The 17,985-nt window shown below is 40.9% G+C and overlaps 1 annotated feature.

The window, feature by feature from the left end:
* Window positions 1–17,985: part of a centromere (Linear centromere model derived predominantly from reads generated in PMID: 17803354. This region does not represent an actual centromere sequence, as long-range ordering of repeats and unmapped WGS contigs is not provided by the model. For details of model production, see http://arxiv.org/abs/1307.0035.) that runs on past both edges of the window.

A 17,985-nucleotide genomic window follows, 5' to 3' on the forward strand; every position in this document is an offset into this window, starting at 1 on the left:
CATTCAACTCACAGTGTTGAACCTTTCTTTGATAGTTCAGGTTTGAAACGGTCTTTCTGTAGAAACTGCAAGTAGATATTTGGACCTCTCTGAGGATTTCGTTGGAAACGGGATAAACCGCACAGAACTAAAACAGAAGCATTCACAGAAAACTCTTGGTGACGTCTGAGTTTGACTCACAGAGCTGAACATTCCTTTGGATGGAGCAGTTTCGAAACACACTCTTTGTAGAATCTGCAAGTGGATATTTAGGCCTCTCTGAGGATTTCGTTGGAAATGGGATAAACCGCACAGAACTAAAACAGAAGCATTCTCAGAAACTACTTTGTGATGATTGCATTCAAGTCACAGAGTTGAACATTCCCTTTGACAGAGCAGTTTGGAAACTCTCTTTGTGTAGAATCTGCAAGTGGAGATATGGACCGCTTTGAGGCCTATGGTAGTAAAGGAAATAGCTTCATATAAAAGCTAGACAGTAGCATTCTCAGAAACTTCTTTGTGATGCTTGCATTCAACTCACAGAGTTGAACTTTCCTTTCGAGAGAGAAGCTTTGAAACACTCTTTTTCCAGAATCTGCAAGTGGACATTTGGAGGGCTTTGAGGCCTGTGGTGGAAAAGGAATTATCTTCCCGTAAAAGCTAGATAGAAGCATTGTCAGAAACTTCTTTGTGATGATTGCATTCAACTCACAGAGTTGAAGGTTCCTTTTCAAACAGCAGTTTCCAATCACTCTTTCTGTGGAATCTGCAAGTGGATATTTGGGCCTCTCTGAGGATTTCGTTGGAAACGGGATAAAACGCACAGAACTAAAACAGAAGCATTCTCAGAAACTTCTCTGTGATGTTTGTGTTCAACTCCCAGAGTTTCACGTTGCTTTTCATAGAGTAGTTCTGAAACATGCTTTTCGTAGTGTCTGCAAGTGGACATTTGGAGCGCTTTCAGGCCTGTGGTGGAAAACGAATTATGGTCACATAAAAACTGGAGAGAAGCCTTCTCAGAAACTTCTCTGTGATGATTGCATTCAACTCACAGAGTTGAACCCTCCTATGGATAGAGCAGTGTTGAAACTCTCTTTTTGTGGAATCTGCAAGTGGATATGTGGACCTCTCCGAAGATGTCTTTGGAAACGGGAATATCTTCACATAAAAACTAAACAGAAGCATTCTCAGAAACTTCTTGGTGATGTTTGCATTCAAATCCCAGAGTTGAACTTTCCTGTGATAGTTCAGGTTTGAAACACTCTTTTTGTAGGATCTGCAAGTGGATATTTGGACCACTCTGTGGCCTTCGTTCGAAACGGGTACATCTTCACATAAAATCTAGACAGAAGCATTCTCAGAAAATACTTTGTGATGATTGAGTTTAACTCACAGAGCTGAACATTCCTTTGGATGGAGCAGGTTTGAGACACACTTTTTGTAGAATCTACAAGTGGATATTTGGACCTCTCTGAGGATGTCGTTGGAAACGCGATAACTGCACCTAACTAAACGGAAGCATTCTCAGAAACTGCTTTGTGATGATTGCATTCACCTCACAGAGTTGAACATTCCTATTGATAGAGCAGTTTGGAAACACTCTTGTTGTGGAATGTGCAAGTGGAGATTTGGAGCGCTTTGAGGTCTATGGTAGTAAAGGGAATAGCTTCATAGAAAAACTAGACAGATGCATTCTCAGGAACTTTTTGGTGATGTTTGTATTCAACTCCCAGAGTTGAACTTTCCTTTGGAAAGAGCAGCTATGAAACACTCTTTTTCTAGAATCTGCAAGTGGACGTTTGGAGGGCTTTGTGGTTTGTGGTGGAAAAGGAAATATCTTCACCTAAATACTAGATAGAAGCATTCTCAGAAGCTTCTCTGTGATGACTGCATTCAACTCACGGAGTTGAACACTCCTTTTGAGAGCGCAGTTTTGAAACTCTCTTTCTGTGGCATCTGCAAGGGGACATGTAGACCTCTTTGAAGATTTCGTTGGAAACGGAATCATCTTCACATAAAAACTATACAGAAAGCAGTCTCAGAATCTTCTTTGTGATGTTTGCATTCAAATCCCAGAGTTGAACTTTCCTTTCAAAGTTCACGTTTGAAACACTCTTTTTGCAGGATCTACAAGTGGATATTTGGACCACTCTGTGTCCTTCGTTCGAAACGGGTATATCTTCACATGACATCTAGACAGAAGCTTTCTCAGAAAATTCTTTGGGATGATTGAGTGGAACTCACAGATCTGAACATTCCTTGCGATGTAGCAGTTTAGAAACACACTTTCTGCAGAATCTGCAAGTGCATATGTGGACCTCTCTGAGGAATTCGTTGGAAACGGGATAATTTCAGCTGACTAAACAGAAGCATTCTCAGAACCTTCTTCGTGATGTCTGCATTCAACTCACAGTGTGGAACCTTTCTTTGATAGTTCAGGTTTGAAACACTCTTTTTGTAGAAACTGCAAGGGGATAATTACTCTTCTTTGAGGCCTACCGTAGTAAAGGAAATAACTTCCTATAGAAAGAAGACAGAAGAATTCTCAGAGCCCTCTTCGTGATGTTTGCATTCAACTCACAGTGCTGAACCTTTCTTTGATAGTGCAGCTTTGAAACACTCTTTTTGTAGAAACTGCAAGTGGATGTTTGGTCCTCTCTGAGGATTTCGTTGGAAACGGGATAAACCGCACAGAACTAAAACAGAAGCATTCTCAGAACCTTCTTCGTGATGTTTGCATTCAACTCACAGTGTTGAACCTTTCTTTGATAGTTCAGGTTGGAAACGGTCTTTCTGTAGAAACTGCAAGTAGATATTTGGACCTCTCTGAGGATTTCGTTGGAAACGGGATAAACCGCACAGAACTAAAACAGAAGCATTCACAGAAAACTCTTGGTGACGACTGAGTTTAACTCACAGAGCTGAACATTCCTTTGGATGGAGCAGTTTCGAAACACACTATTTGTAGAATCTGCAAGTGGATATTTGGGCCTCTCTGAGGATTTCGTTGGAAACGGGATAAACCGCACAGAACTAAAACAGAAGCATTCTCAGAAACTACTTTGTGATGATTGCATTCAAGTCACAGAGTTGAACATTCCCTTTGACAGAACAGTTTGGAAACTCTCTTTGTGTAGAATCTGCAAGTGGAGATATGGACCGCTTTGAGGCCTATGGTAGTAAAGGAAATAGCTTCATATAAAAGCTAGACAGTAGCATTCTCAGAAACTTCTTTGTGATGCTTGCATTCAACTCACAGAGTTGAACTTTCCTTTCGAGAGAGAAGCTTTGAAACACTCTTTTTCCAGAATCTGCAAGTGGACATTTGGAGGGCTTTGAGGCCTGTGGTGGAAAAGGAATTATCTTCCCGTAAAAGCTAGATAGAAGCATTGTCAGAAACTTCTTTGTGATGATTGCATTCAACTCACGGAGATGAAGGTTCCTTTACAAACAGCAGTTTCCAAACACTCTTTCTGTGGAATCTGCAAGTGGATATTTGGACCTCTTTGAAGATTTCGTTGGAAACGGGAGAATCTTCACAGAAAAGCTAAACAGAAGCATTCTCAGAAACTTCTCTGTGATGTTTGTGTTCAACTCCCAGAGTTTCACGTTGCTTTTCATAGAGTAGTTCTGAAACATGCTTTTCGTAGTGTCTGCAAGTGGACATTTGGAGCGCTTTCAGGCCTGTGGTGGAAAACGAATTATGGTCACATAAAAACTGGAGAGAAGCCTTCTCAGAAACTTCTCTGTGATGATTGCATTCAACTCACAGAGTTGAACCCTCCTATGGATAGAGCAGTGTTGAAACTCTCTTTTTGTGGAATCTGCAAGTGGATATGTGGACCTCTCCGAAGATGTCTTTGGAAACGGGAATATCTTCACATAAAAACTAAACAGAAGCATTCTCAGAAACTTCTTGGTGATGTTTGCATTCAAATCCCAGAGTTGAACCTTCCTTTGATAGTTCAGGTTTGAAACACTCTTTCTGTAGGATCTGCAAGTGGCTATTTGGACCACTCTGTGGCCTTCGTTCGAAACGGGTATATCTTCGCATAAAATCTAGACAGAAGCATTCTCAGAAAATACTTTGTGATGATTGAGTTGAACTCACAGAGCTGAACATTCCTTTGGATGGAGCAGGTTTGAGACACACTTTTTGTAGAATCTACAAGTGGATATTTGGACCTCTCTGAGGATTTCGTTGGAAACGGGATAACTGCACCTAACTAAACGGAAGCATTCTCAGAAACTGCTTTGTGATGATTGCATTCACCTCACAGAGTTGAACATTCCTATTGATAGAGCAGTTTGGAAACACTCTTGTTGTGGAATGTGCAAGTGGAGATTTGGAGCGCTTTGAGGCCTATGGTAGTAAAGGGAATAGCTTCATAGAAAAACTAGACAGATGCATTCTCAGGAACTTTTTGGTGATGTTTGTATTCAACTCCCAGAGTTGAACTTTCCTTTGGAAAGAGCAGCTATGAAACACTCTTTTTCTAGAATCTGCAAGTGGACGTTTGGAGGGCTTTGTGGTTTGTGGTGGAAAAGGAAATATCTTCACCTAAATACTAGATAGAAGCATTCTCAGAAGCTTCTCTGTGATGACTGCATTCAACTCACGGAGTTGAACACTCCTTTTGAGAGCGCAGTTTTGAAACTCTCTTTCTGTGGCATCTGCAAGGGGACATGTAGACCTCTTTGAAGATTTCGTTGGAAACGGAATCATCTTCACATAAAAACTATACAGAAGCAGTCTCAGAATCTTCTTTGTGATGTTTGCATTCAAATCCCCGAGTTGAACTTTCCTTTCAAAGTTCACGTTTGAAACACTCTTTTTGCAGGATCTACAAGTGGATATTTGGACCACTCTGTGTCCTTCGTTCGAAACGGGTATATCTTCACATGACATCTAGACAGAAGCTTTCTCAGAAAATTCTTTGGGATGATTGAGTGGAACTCACAGAGCTGAACATTCCTTGCGATGTAGCAGTTTAGAAACACACTTTCTGCAGAATCTGCAAGTGCATATTTGGACCTCTCTGAGGAATTCGTTGGAAACGGGATAATTTCAGCTGACTAAACAGAAGCATTCTCAGAACCTTCTTCGTGATGTCTGCATTCAACTCACAGTGTGGAACCTTTCTTTGATAGTTCAGGTTTGAAACACTCTTTTTGTAGAAACTGCAAGGGGATAATTGCACTTCTTTGAGGCCTACCGTAGTAAAGGAAATAACTTCCTATAGAAAGAAGACAGAAGCATTCTCAGAACCCTCTTCGTGATGTTTGCATTCAACTCACGGTGCTGAACCTTTCTTTGATAGTTCAGCTTTGAAACACTCTTTTTGTAGAAACTGCAAGTGGATATTTGGTCCTCTCTGAGGATTTCGTTGGAAACGGGATAAACCGCACAGAACTAAACAGAAGCATTCTCAGAACCTTCTTCGTGATGTTTGCATTCAACTCACAGTGTTGAACCTTTCTTTGATAGTTCAGGTTTGAAACGGTCTTTCTGTAGAAACTGCAAGTAGATATTTGGACCTCTCTGAGGATTTCGTTGGAAACGGGATAAACCGCACAGAACTAAAACAGAAGCATTCACAGAAAACTCTTGGTGACGACTGAGTTTAACTCACAGAGCTGAACATTCCTTTGGATGGAGCAGTTTCGAAACACACTATTTGTAGAATGCGCAAGTGGATATTTGGGACTCTCTGAGGATTTCGTTGGAAACGGGATAAACCGCACAGAACTAAACAGAACCATTCTGAGAAACTACTTTGTGATGATTGCATTCAAGTCACAGAGCTGAACATTCCCTTTGACAGAGCAGTTTGGAAACTCTCTTTGTGTAGAATCTGCAAGTGGAGATATGGAATGCTTTGAGGACTATGGTAGTAAAGGAAATAGCTTCATATAAAAGCTAGACAGTAGCATTCTCAGAAACTTCTTTGTGATGCTTGCATTCAACTCACAGAGTTGAACTTTCCTTTCGAGAGAGAAGCTTTGAAACACTCTTTTTCCAGAATGTGCAAGTGGACATTTGGGGAGCTTTGAGGCCTGTGGTGGAAAAGGAATTATCTTCCCGTAAAAGCTAGATAGAAGCATTGTCAGAAACTTCTTTGTGATGATTGCATTCAACTCACAGAGTTGAAGGTTCCTTTTCAAACAGCAGTTTCCAATCACTCTTTCTGTGGAATCTGCAAGTGGATATTTGGGCCTCTCTGAGGATTTCGTTGGAAACGGGATAAAACGCACAGAACTAAAACAGAAGCATTCTCAGAAACTTCTCTGTGATGTTTGTGTTCAACTCCCAGAGTTTCACATTGCTTTTCATAGAGTAGTTCTGAAACATGCTTTTCGTAGTGTCTACAAGTGGACATTTGGAGCGCTTTCAGGCCTGTGGTGGAAAACGAATTATGGTCACATAAAAACTGGAGAGAAGCCTTCTCAGAAACTTCTCTGTGATGATTGCATTCAACTCACAGAGTTGAACCCTCCTATGGATAGAGCAGTGTTGAAACTCTCTTTTTGTGGAATCTGCAAGTGGATATGTGGACCTCTCCGAAGATGTCTTTGGAAACGGGAATATCTTCACATAAAAACTAAACAGAAGCATTCTCAGAAACTTCTTGGTGATGTTTGCATTCAAATCCCAGAGTTGAACCTTCCTTTGATAGTTCAGGTTTGAAACACTCTTTCTGTAGGATCTGCAAGTGGCTATTTGGACCACTCTGTGGCCTTCGTTCGAAACGGGTATATCTTCGCATAAAATCTAGACAGAAGCATTCTCAGAAAATACTTTGTGATGATTGAGTTTAAATCACAGAGCTGACCATTCCTTTGGATGGAGCAGGTTTGAGACACACTTTTTGTAGAATCTACAAGTGGATATTTGGACCTCTCTGAGGATTTCGTTGGAAACGGGATAACTGCACCTAACTAAACGGAAGCATTCTCAGAAACTGCTTTGTGATGATTGCATTCACCTCACAGAGTTGAACATTCCTATTGATAGAGCAGTTTGGAAACACTCTTGTTGTGGAATGTGCAAGTGGAGATTTGGAGCGCTTTGAGGCCTATGGTAGTAAAGGGAATAGCTTCATAGAAAAACTAGACAGATGCATTCTCAGGAACTTTTTGGTGATGTTTGTATTCAACTCCCAGAGTTGAACTTTCCTTTGGAAAGAGCAGCTATGAAACACTCTTTTTCTAGAATCTGCAAGTGGACGTTTGGAGGGCTTTGTGGTTTGTGGTGGAAAAGGAAATATCTTCACCTAAATACTAGATAGAAGCATTCTCAGAAGCTTCTCTGTGATGACTGCATTCAACTCACGGAGTTGAACACTCCTTTTGAGAGCGCAGTTTTGAAACTCTCTTTCTGTGGCATCTGCAAGGGGACATGTAGACCTCTTTGAAGATTTCGTTGGAAACGGAATCATCTTCACATAAAAACTATACAGAAGCAGTCTCAGAATCTTCTTTGTGATGTTTGCATTCAAATCCCAGAGTTGAACTTTCCTTTCAAAGTTCACGTTTGAAACACTCTTTTTGCAGGATCTACAAGTGGATATTTGGACCACTCTGTGTCCTTCGTTCGAAACGGGTATATCTTCACAGGACATCTAGACAGAAGCTTTCTCAGAAAATTCTTTGGGATGATTGAGTGGAACTCACAGAGCTGTACATTCCTTGCGATGTAGCAGTTTAGAAACACACTTTCTGCAGAATCTGCAAGTGCATATTTGGACCTCTCTGAGGAATTCGTTGGAAACGGGATAATTTCAGCTGACTAAACAGAAGCATTCTCAGAACCTTCTTCGTGATGTCTGCATTCAACTCACAGTGTGGAACCTTTCTTTGATAGTTCAGGTTTGAAACACTCTTTTTGTAGAAACTGCAAGGGGATAATTGCACTTCTTTGAGGCCTACCGTAGTAAAGGAAATAACTTCCTATAGAAAGAAGACAGAAGCATTCTCAGAACCCTCTTCGTGATGTTTGCATTCAACTCACAGTGCTGAACCTTTCTTTGATAGTTCAGCTTTGAAACACTCTTCTTGTAGAAACTGCAAGTGGATATTTGGTCCTCTCTGAGGATTTCGTTGGAAACGGGATAAACCGCACAGAACTAAACAGAAGCATTCTCAGAACCTTCTTCGTGATGTTTGCATTCAACTCACAGTGTTGAACCTTTCTTTGATAGTTCAGGTTTGAAACGGTCTTTCTGTAGAAACTGCAAGTAGATATTTGGACCTCTCTGAGGATTTCGTTGGAAACGGGATAACCCGCACAGAACTAAAACAGAAGCATTCACAGAAAACTCTTGGTGACGACTGAGTTTAACTCACAGAACTGAACATTCCTTTGGATGGAGCAGTTTCGAAACACAGTATTTGTAGAATGTGCAAGTGGATATGTGGGCCTCTGTGAGGATTTCGTTGGAAACGGGATAAACCGCACAGAACTAAACAGAAGCATTCTCAGAAACTACTTTGTGATGATTGCATTCAAGTCACAGAGCTGAACATTCCCTTTGACAGAGCAGTTTGGAAACTCTCTTTGTGTAGAATCTGCAAGTGGAGACATGGACCGCTTTGAGGCCTATGGTAGTAAAGGAAATAGCTTCATATAAAACCTAGACAGTAGCATCCTCAGAAACTTCTTTGTGATGCTTGCATTCAACTCACAGAGTTGAACTTTCCTTTCGAGAGAGAAGCTTTGAAACACTCTTTTTCCAGAATCTGCAAGTGGACATTTGGAGGGCTTTGAGGCCTGTGGTGGAAAAGGAATTATCTTCCCGTAAAAGCTAGATAGAAGCATTGTCAGAAACTTCTTTGTGATGATTGCATTCAACTCACAGAGTTGAAGGTTCCTTTTCAAACAGCAGTTTCCAATCACTCTTTCTGTGGAATCTGCAAGTGGATATTTCGACCTCTTTGAAGATTTCGTTGGAAACGGGAGAATCTTCACAGAAAAGCTAAACAGAAGCATTCTCAGAAACTTCTCTGTGATGTTTGTATTCAACTCCCAGAGTTTCACGTTGCTTTTCATAGAGTAGTTCTGAAACATGCTTTTCGTAGTGTCTGCAAGTGGACATTTGGAGCGCTTTCAGGCCTGTGGTGGAAAACGAATTATGGTCACATAAAAACTGGAGAGAAGCCTTCTCAGAAACGTCTCTGTGATGATTGCATTCAACTCACAGAGTTGAACCCTCCTATGGATAGAGCAGTGTTGAAACTCTCTTTTTGTGGAATCTGCAAGTGGATATGTGGACCTCTCCGAAGAAGTCTTTGGAAACGGGAATATCTTCACATAAAAACTAAACGGAAGCATTCTCAGAAACTTCTTGGTGATGTTTGCATTCAAATCCCAGAGGTGAAACTTCCTTTGAGAGTTCAGGTTTGAAACACTCTTTTTGTAGGATCTGCAAGTGGATATTTGGACCACTCTGTGGCCTTCGTTCGAAACGGGTACATCTTCGAATAAAATCTAGACAGAAGCATTCTCAGAAAATACTTTGTGATGATTGAGTTTAAATCACAGAGCTGACCATTCCTTTGGATGGAGCAGGTTTGAGACACACTTTTTGTAGAATCTACAAGTGGATATTTGGACCTCTCTGAGGATTTCGTTGGAAACGGGATAACTGCACCTAACTAAACGGAAGCATTCTCAGAAACTGCTTTGTGATGATTGCATTTCACCTCACAGAGTTGAACATTCCTATTGATAGAGCAGTTTGGAAACACTCTTGTTGTGGAATGTGCAAGTGGAGATTTGGAGCGCTTTGAGGCCTATGGTAGTAAAGGGAATAGCTTCATAGAAAAACTAGACAGATGCATTCTCAGGAACTTTTTGGTGATGTTTGTATTCAACTCCCAGAGTTGAACTTTCCTTTGGAAAGAGCAGCTATGAAACACTCTTTTTCTAGCATCTGCAAGTGGACGTTTGGAGGGCTTTGTGGTTTGTAGTGGAAAAGGAAATATCTTCACCTAAATACTAGATAGAAGCATTCTCAGAAGCTTCTCTGTGATGACTGCATTCAACTCACGGAGTTGAACACTCCTTTTGAGAGCGCAGTTTTGGAACTCCCTTTCTGTGGCATCTGCAAGGGGACATGTAGACCTCTTTGAAGATTTCGTTGGAAACGGAATCATCTTCACATCAAAACTATACAGAAGCAGTCTCAGAATCTTCTTTGTGATGTTTGCATTCAAATCCCAGAGTTGAACTTTCCTTTCAAAGTTCACGTTTGAAACACTCTTTTTGCAGGATCTACAAGTGGATATTTGGACCACTCTGTGTCCTTCGTTCGAAACGGGTATATCTTCACATGACATCTAGACAGAAGCTTTCTCAGAAAATTGTTTGGGATGATTGACTTGAACTCACAGCAGCTGAGCATTCCTTGCGATGTAGCAGTTTAGAAACACACTTTCTGCAGAATCTGCAAGTGCATATTTGGACCTCTCTGAGGAATTCGTTGGAAACGGGATAATTTCAGCTGACTAAACAGAAGCATTCTCAGAACCTTCTTCGTGATGTCTGCATTCAACTCACAGTGTGGAACCTTTCTTTGATAGTTCAGGTTTGAAACACTCTTTTTGTAGAAACTGCAAGGGGATAATTGCACTTCTTTGAGGCCTACCGTAGTAAAGGAAATAACTTCCTATAGAAAGAAGACAGAAGCATTCTCAGAACCTTCTTCGTGATGTTTGCATTCAACTCACAGTGCTGAACCTTTCTTTGATAGTTCAGCTTTGAAACACTCTTTTTGTAGAAACTGCAAGTGGATATTTGGTCCTCTCTGAGGATTTCGTTGGAAACGGGATAAACCGCACAGAACTAAACAGAAGCATTCACAGAAAACTCTTGGTGACGACTGAGTTTAACTCACAGAGCTGAACATTCCTTTGGATGGAGCAGTTTCGAAACACACTCTTTGTAGAATGTGCAAGTGGATATTTGGGCCTCTCTGAGGATTTCGTTGGAAACGGGATAAACCGCACAGAACTAAAACAGAAGCATTCTGAGAAACTACTTTGTGATGATTTTATTCAAGTCACAGAGCTGAACATTCCCTTTGACAGAGCAGTTTGGAAACTCTCTTTGTGTAGAATCTGCAAGTGGAGATATGGAATGCTTTGAGGACTATGGTAGTAAAGGAAATAGCTTCATATAAAAGCTAGACAGTAGCATTCTCAGAAACTTCTTTGTGATGCTTGCATTCAACTCACAGAGTTGAACTTTCCTTTCGAGAGAGAAGCTTTGAAACACTCTTTTTCCAGAATCTGCAAGTGGACATTTGGAGGGCTTTGAGGCCTGTGGTGGAAAAGGAATTATCTTCCCGTAAAAGCTAGATAGAAGCATTGTCAGAAACTTCTTTGTGATGATTGCATTCAACTCACAGAGTTGAAGGTTCCTTTTCAAACAGCAGTTTCCAATCACTCTTTCTGTGGAATCTGCAAGTGGATATTTGGGCCTCTCTGAGGATTTCGTTGGAAACGGGATAAAACGCACAGAACTAAAACAGAAGCATTCTCAGAAACTTCTCTGTGATGTTTGTGTTCAACTCCCAGAGTGTCACATTGCTTCTCATAGAGTAGTTCTGAAACATGCTTTTCGTAGTGTCTGCAAGGGGACATTTGGAGCGCTTTCAGGCCTGTGGTGGAAAACGAATTATGGTCACATAAAAACTGGAGAGAAGCCTTCTCAGAAACTTCTCTGTGATGATTGCATTCAACTCACAGAGTTGAACCGTCCTATGGATAGAGCAGTGTTGAAACTCTCTTTTTGTGGAATCTGCAAGTGGATATGTGGACCTCTCCGAAGATGTCTTTGGAAACGGGGCTATCTTCACATAAAAACTAAACAGAAGCATTCTCAGAAACTTCTTCGTGATGTTTGCATTCAAATCCCAGAGTTGAACCTTCCTTTGAGAGTTCAGGTTTGAAACACTCTTTTTGTAGGATCTGCAAGTGGATATTTGGACCACTCTGTGGCCTTCGTTCGAAACGGGTACATCTTCGCATAAAATCTAGACAGAAGCATTCTCAGAAAATACTTTGTGATGATTGAGTTGAACTCACAGAGCTGAACATTCCTTTGGATGGAGCAGGTTTGAGACACACTTTTTGTAGAATCTACAAGTGGATATTTGGACCTCTCTGAGGATTTCGTTGGAAACGGGATAACTGCACCTAACTAAACGGAAGCATTCTCAGAAACTGCTTTGTGATGATTGCATTCACCTCACAGAGTTGAACATTCCTATTGATAGAGCAGTTTGGAAACACTCTTGTTGTGGAATGTGCAAGTGGAGATTTGGAGCGCTTTGAGGTCTATGGTAGTAAAGGGAATAGCTTCATAGAAAAACTAGACAGATGCATTCTCAGGAACTTTTTGGTGATGTTTGTATTCAACTCCCAGAGTTGAACTTTCCTTTGGAAAGAGCAGCTATGAAACACTCTTTTTCTAGAATCTGCAAGTGGACGTTTGGAGGGCTTTGTGGTTTGTGGTGGAAAAGGAAATATCTTCACCTAAATACTAGATAGAAGCTTTCTCAGAAGCTTCTCTGTGATGACTGCATTCAACTCACGGAGTTGAACACTCCTTTTGAGAGCGCAGTTTTGAAACTCCCTTTCTGTGGCATCTGCAAGGGGACATGTAGACCTCTTTGAAGATTTCGTTGGAAACGGAATCATCTTCACATAAAAACTATACAGAAGTAGTCTCAGAATCTTCTTTGTGATGTTTGCATTCAAATCCCAGAGTTGAACTTTCCTTTCAAAGTTCACGTTTGAAACACTCTTTTTGCAGGATCTACAAGTGGATATTTGGACCACTCTGTGTCCTTCGTTCGAAACGGGTATATCTTCACACGACATCTAGACAGAAGCTTTCTCAGAAAATTCTTTGGGATGATTGAGTTGAACTCACAGAGCTGAACATTCCTTGCGATGTAGCAGTTTAGAAACACACTTTCTGCAGAATCTGCAAGTGCATATTTGGACCTCTCTGAGGAATTCGTTGGAAACGGGATAATTTCAGCTGACTAAACAGAAGCATTCTCAGAACCTTCTTCGTGATGTCTGCATTCAACTCACAGTGTGGAACCTTTCTTTGATAGTTCAGGTTTGAATCACTCTTTTTGTAGAAACTGCAAGGGGATAATTGCACTTCTTTGAGGCCTACCGTAGTAAAGGAAATAACTTCCTATAAAAAGAAGACAGAAGAATTCTCAGAGCCCTCTTCGTGATGTTTGCATTCAACTCACAGTGCTGAACCTTTCTTTGATAGTGCAGCTTTGAAACACTCTTTTTGTAGAAACTGCAAGTGGATGTTTGGTCCTCTCTGAGGATTTCGTTGGAAACGGGATAAACCGCACAGAACTAAAACAGAAGCATTCTCAGAACCTTCTTCGTGATGTTTGCATTCAACTCACAGTGTTGAACCTTTCTTTGATAGTTCAGGTTTGAAACGGTCTTTCTGTAGAAACTGCAAGTAGATATTTGGACCTCTCTGAGGATTTCGTTGGAAACGGGATAAACTGCACAGAACTAAAACAGAAGCATTCACAGAAAACTCTTGGTGACGACTGAGTTTAACTCACAGAGCTGAACATTCCTTTGGATGGAGCAGTTTCGAAACACACTATTTGTAGAATGTGCAAGTGGATATTTAGGCCTCTCTGAGGATTTCGTTGGAAATGGGATAAACCGCACAGAACTAAACAGAAGCATTCTCAGAAACTACTTTGTGATGATTGCATTCAAGTCACAGAGTTGAACATTCCCCTTGACAGAGCAGTTTGGAAACTCTCTTTGTGTAGAATCTGCAAGTGGAGATATGGACCGCTTTGAGGCCTATGGTAGTAAAGGAAATAGCTTCATATAAAAGCTAGACAGTAGCATTCTCAGAAACTTCTTTGTGATGCTTGCATTCAACTCACAGAGTTGAACTTTCCTTTCGAGAGAGAAGGTTTGAAACACTCTTTTTCCAGAATCTGCAAGTGGACATTTGGAGGGCTTTGAGGCCTGTGGTGGAAAAGGAATTATCTTCCCGTAAAAGCTAGATGGAAGCATTGTCAGAAACTTCTTTGTGATGATTGCATTCAAATCACAGAGTTGAAGGTTCCTTTTCAAACAGCAGTTTCCAATCACTCTTTCTGTGGAATGTGCAAGTGGATATTTGGACCTCTTTGAAGATTTCATTGGAAACGGGAGAATCTTCACAGAAAAGCTAAACAGAAAGCATTCTCAGAAACTTCTCTGTGATGTTTGTGTTCAACTCCCAGAGTTTCACATTGCTTTTCATAGAGTAGTTCTGAAACATGCTTTTCGTAGTGTCTGCAAGTGGACATTTGGAGCGCTTTCAGGCCTGTGGTGGAAAACGAATTATGGTCACATAAAAACTGGAGAGAAGCCTTCTCAGAAACTTCTCTGTGATGATTGCATTCAACTCACAGAGTTGAACCCTCCTATGGATAGAGCAGTGTTGAAACTCTCTTTTTGTGGAATCTGCAAGTGGATATGTGGACCTCTCCGAAGATGTCTTTGGAAACGGGAATATCTTCACATAAAAACTAAACAGAAGCATTCTCAGAAACTTCTTGGTGATGTTTGCATTCAAATCCCAGAGTTGAACCTTCCTTTGATAGTTCAGGTTTGAAACACACTTTTTGTAGGATCTGCAAGTGGATATTTGGACCACTCTGTGGCCTTCGTTCAAAACGGGTACATCTTCGCATAAAATCTAGACAGAAGCATTCTCAGAAAATACTTTGTGATGATTGAGTTTAAATCACAGAGCTGACCATTCCTTTGGATGGAGCAGGTTTGAGACACACTTTTTGTAGAATCTACAAGTGGATATTTGGACCCTCTCTGAGGATTTCGTTGGAAACGGGATAACTGCACCTAACTAAACGGAAGCATTCTCAGAAACTGCTTTGTGATGATTGCATTCACCTCACAGAGTTGAACATTCCTATTGATAGAGCAGTTTGGAAACACTCTTGTTGTGGAATGTGCAAGTGGAGATTTGGAGCGCTTTGAGGCCTATGGTAGTAAAGGGAATAGCTTCATAGAAAAACTAGACAGATGCATTCTCAGGAACCTTTTGGTGATGTTTGTATTCAACTCCCAGAGTTGAACTTTCCTTTGGAAAGAGCAGCTATGAAACACTCTTTTTCTAGAATCTGCAAGTGGACGTTTGGAGGGCTTTGTGGTTTGTGGTGGAAAAGGAAATATCTTCACCTAAATACTAGATAGAAGCATTCTCAGAAGCTTCTCTGTGATGACTGCATTCAACTCACGGAGTTGAACACTCCTTTTGAGAGCGCAGTTTTGAAACTCTCTTTCTGTGGCATCTGCAAGGGGACATGTAGACCTCTTTGAAGATTTCGTTGGAAACGGAATCATCCTCACATCAAAACTATACAGAAGCAGTCTCAGAATCTTCTTTGTGATGTTTGCATTCAAATCCCAGAGTTGAACTTTCCTTTCAAAGTTCACGTTTGAAACACTCTTTTTGCAGGATCTACAAGTGGATATTTGGACCACTCTGTGTCCTTCGTTCGAAACGGGTATATCTTCACACGACATCTAGACAGAAGCTTTCTCAGAAAATTCTTTGGGATGATTGAGTGGAACTCACAGAGCTGAACATTCCTTGCGATGTAGCAGTTTAGAAACACACTTTCTGCAGAATCTGCAAGTGCATATTTGGACCTCTCTGAGGAATTCGTTGGAAACGGGATAATTTCAGCTGACTAAACAGAAGCATTCTCAGAACCTTCTTCGTGATGTCTGCATTCAACTCACAGTGTGGAACCTTTCTTTGATAGTTCAGGTTTGAAACACTCTTTTTGTAGAAACTGCAAGGGGATAATTGCACTTCTTTCAGGTCTACCGTAGTAAAGGAAATAACTTCCTATAAAAAGAAGACAGAAGCATTCTCAGAACCTTCTTCGTGATGTTTGCATTCAACTCACAGTGCTGAACCTTTCTTTGATAGTTCAGCTTTGAAACACTCTTTTTGTAGAAACTGCAAGTGGATATTTGGTCCTCTCTGAGGATTTCGTTGGAAACGGGATAAACCGCACAGAACTAAACAGAAGCATTCACAGAAAACTCTTGGTGACGACTGAGTTTAACTCACAGAGCTGAACATTCCTTTGGATGGAGCAGTTTCGAAACACACTCTTTGTAGAATGTGCAAGTGGATATTTGGGCCTCTCTGAGGATTTCGTTGGAAACGGGATAAACCGCACAGAACTAAAACAGAAGCATTCTCAGAAACTACTTTGTGATGATTGCATTCAAGTCACAGAGTTGAACATTCCCTTTGACAGAGCAGTTTGGAAACTCTCTTTGTGTAGAATCTGCAAGTGGAGATATGGACCGCTTTGAGGCCTATGGTAGTAAAGGAAATAGCTTCATATAAAAGCTAGACAGTAGCATTCTCAGAAACTTCTTTGTGATGCTTGCATTCAACTCACAGAGTTGAACTTTCCTTTCGAGAGAGAAGCTTTGAAACACTCTTTTTCCAGAATCTGCAAGTGGACATTTGGAGGGCTTTGAGGCCTGTGGTGGAAAAGGAATTAACTTCCCGTAAAAGCTAGATAGAAGCATTGTCAGAAACTTCTTTGTGAGGATTGCATTCAACTCACAGAGTTGAATGTTCCTTTTCAAACAGCAGTTTCCAAACACTCTTTCTGTGGAATCTGCAAGTGGATATTTGGACCTCTTTGAAGATTTCGTTGGAAACGGGAGAATCTTCACAGAAAAGCTAAACGGAAGCATTCTCAGAAACTTCTCTGTGATGTTTGTGTTCAACTCCCAGAGTTTCACGTTGCTTTTCATAGAGTAGTTCTGAAACATGCTTTTCGTAGTGTCTGCAAGTGGACATTTGGAGCGCTTTCAGGCCTGTGGTGGAAAACGAATTATGGTCACATAAAAATGGAGAGAAGCCTTCTCAGAAACTTCTCTGTGATGATTGCATTCAACTCACAGAGTTGAACCCTCCCTATGGATAGAGCAGTGTTGAAACTCTCTTTTTGTGGAATCTGCAAGTGGATATGTGGACCTCTCCGAAGATGTCTTTGGAAACGGGAATATCTTCACATAAAAACTAAACAGAAGCATTCTCAGAAACTTCTTGGTGATGTTTGCATTCAAATCCCAGAGTTGAACCTTCCTTTGATAGTTCAGGTTTGAAACACTCTTTCTGTAGGATCTGCAAGTGGCTATTTGGACCACTCTGTGGCCTTCGTTCGAAACGGGTATATCTTCGCATAAAATCTAGACAGAAGCATTCTCAGAAAATACTTTGTGATGATTGAGTTTAAATCACAGAGCTGAACATTCCTTTGGATGGAGCAGGTTTGAGACACACTTTTTGTAGAATCTACAAGTGGATATTTGGACCTCTCTGAGGATTTCGTTGGAAACGGGATAACTGCACCTAACTAAACGGAAGCATTCTCAGAAACTGCTTTGTGATGATTGCATTCACCTCACAGAGTTGAACATTCCTATTGATAGAGCAGTTTGGAAACACTCTTGTTGTGGAATGTGCAAGTGGAGATTTGGAGCGCTTTGAGGCCTGTGGTAGTAAAGGGAATAGCTTCATAGAAAAACTAGACAGATGCATTCTCAGGAACTTTTTGGTGATGTTTGTATTCAACTCCCAGAGTTGAACTTTCCTTTGGAAAGAGCAGCTATGAAACACTCTTTTTCTAGAATCTGCAAGTGGACGTTTGGAGGGCTTTGTGGTTTGTGGTGGAAAAGGAAATATCTTCACCTAAATACTAGATAGAAGCATTCTCAGAAGCTTCTCTGTGATGACTGCATTCAACTCACGGAGTTGAACACTCCTTTTGAGAGCGCAGTTTTGAAACTCTCTTTCTGTGGCATCTACAAGGGGACATGAAGACCTCTTTGAAGATTTCGTTGGAAACGGAATCATCTTCACATAAAAACTATACAGAAGCAGTCTCAGAATCT

The sequence above is a fragment of the Homo sapiens genome, chromosome 17, assembly GCF_000001405.40.
Source record: "Homo sapiens chromosome 17, GRCh38.p14 Primary Assembly".
NCBI classification, from domain to species: domain Eukaryota; kingdom Metazoa; phylum Chordata; class Mammalia; order Primates; family Hominidae; genus Homo; species Homo sapiens.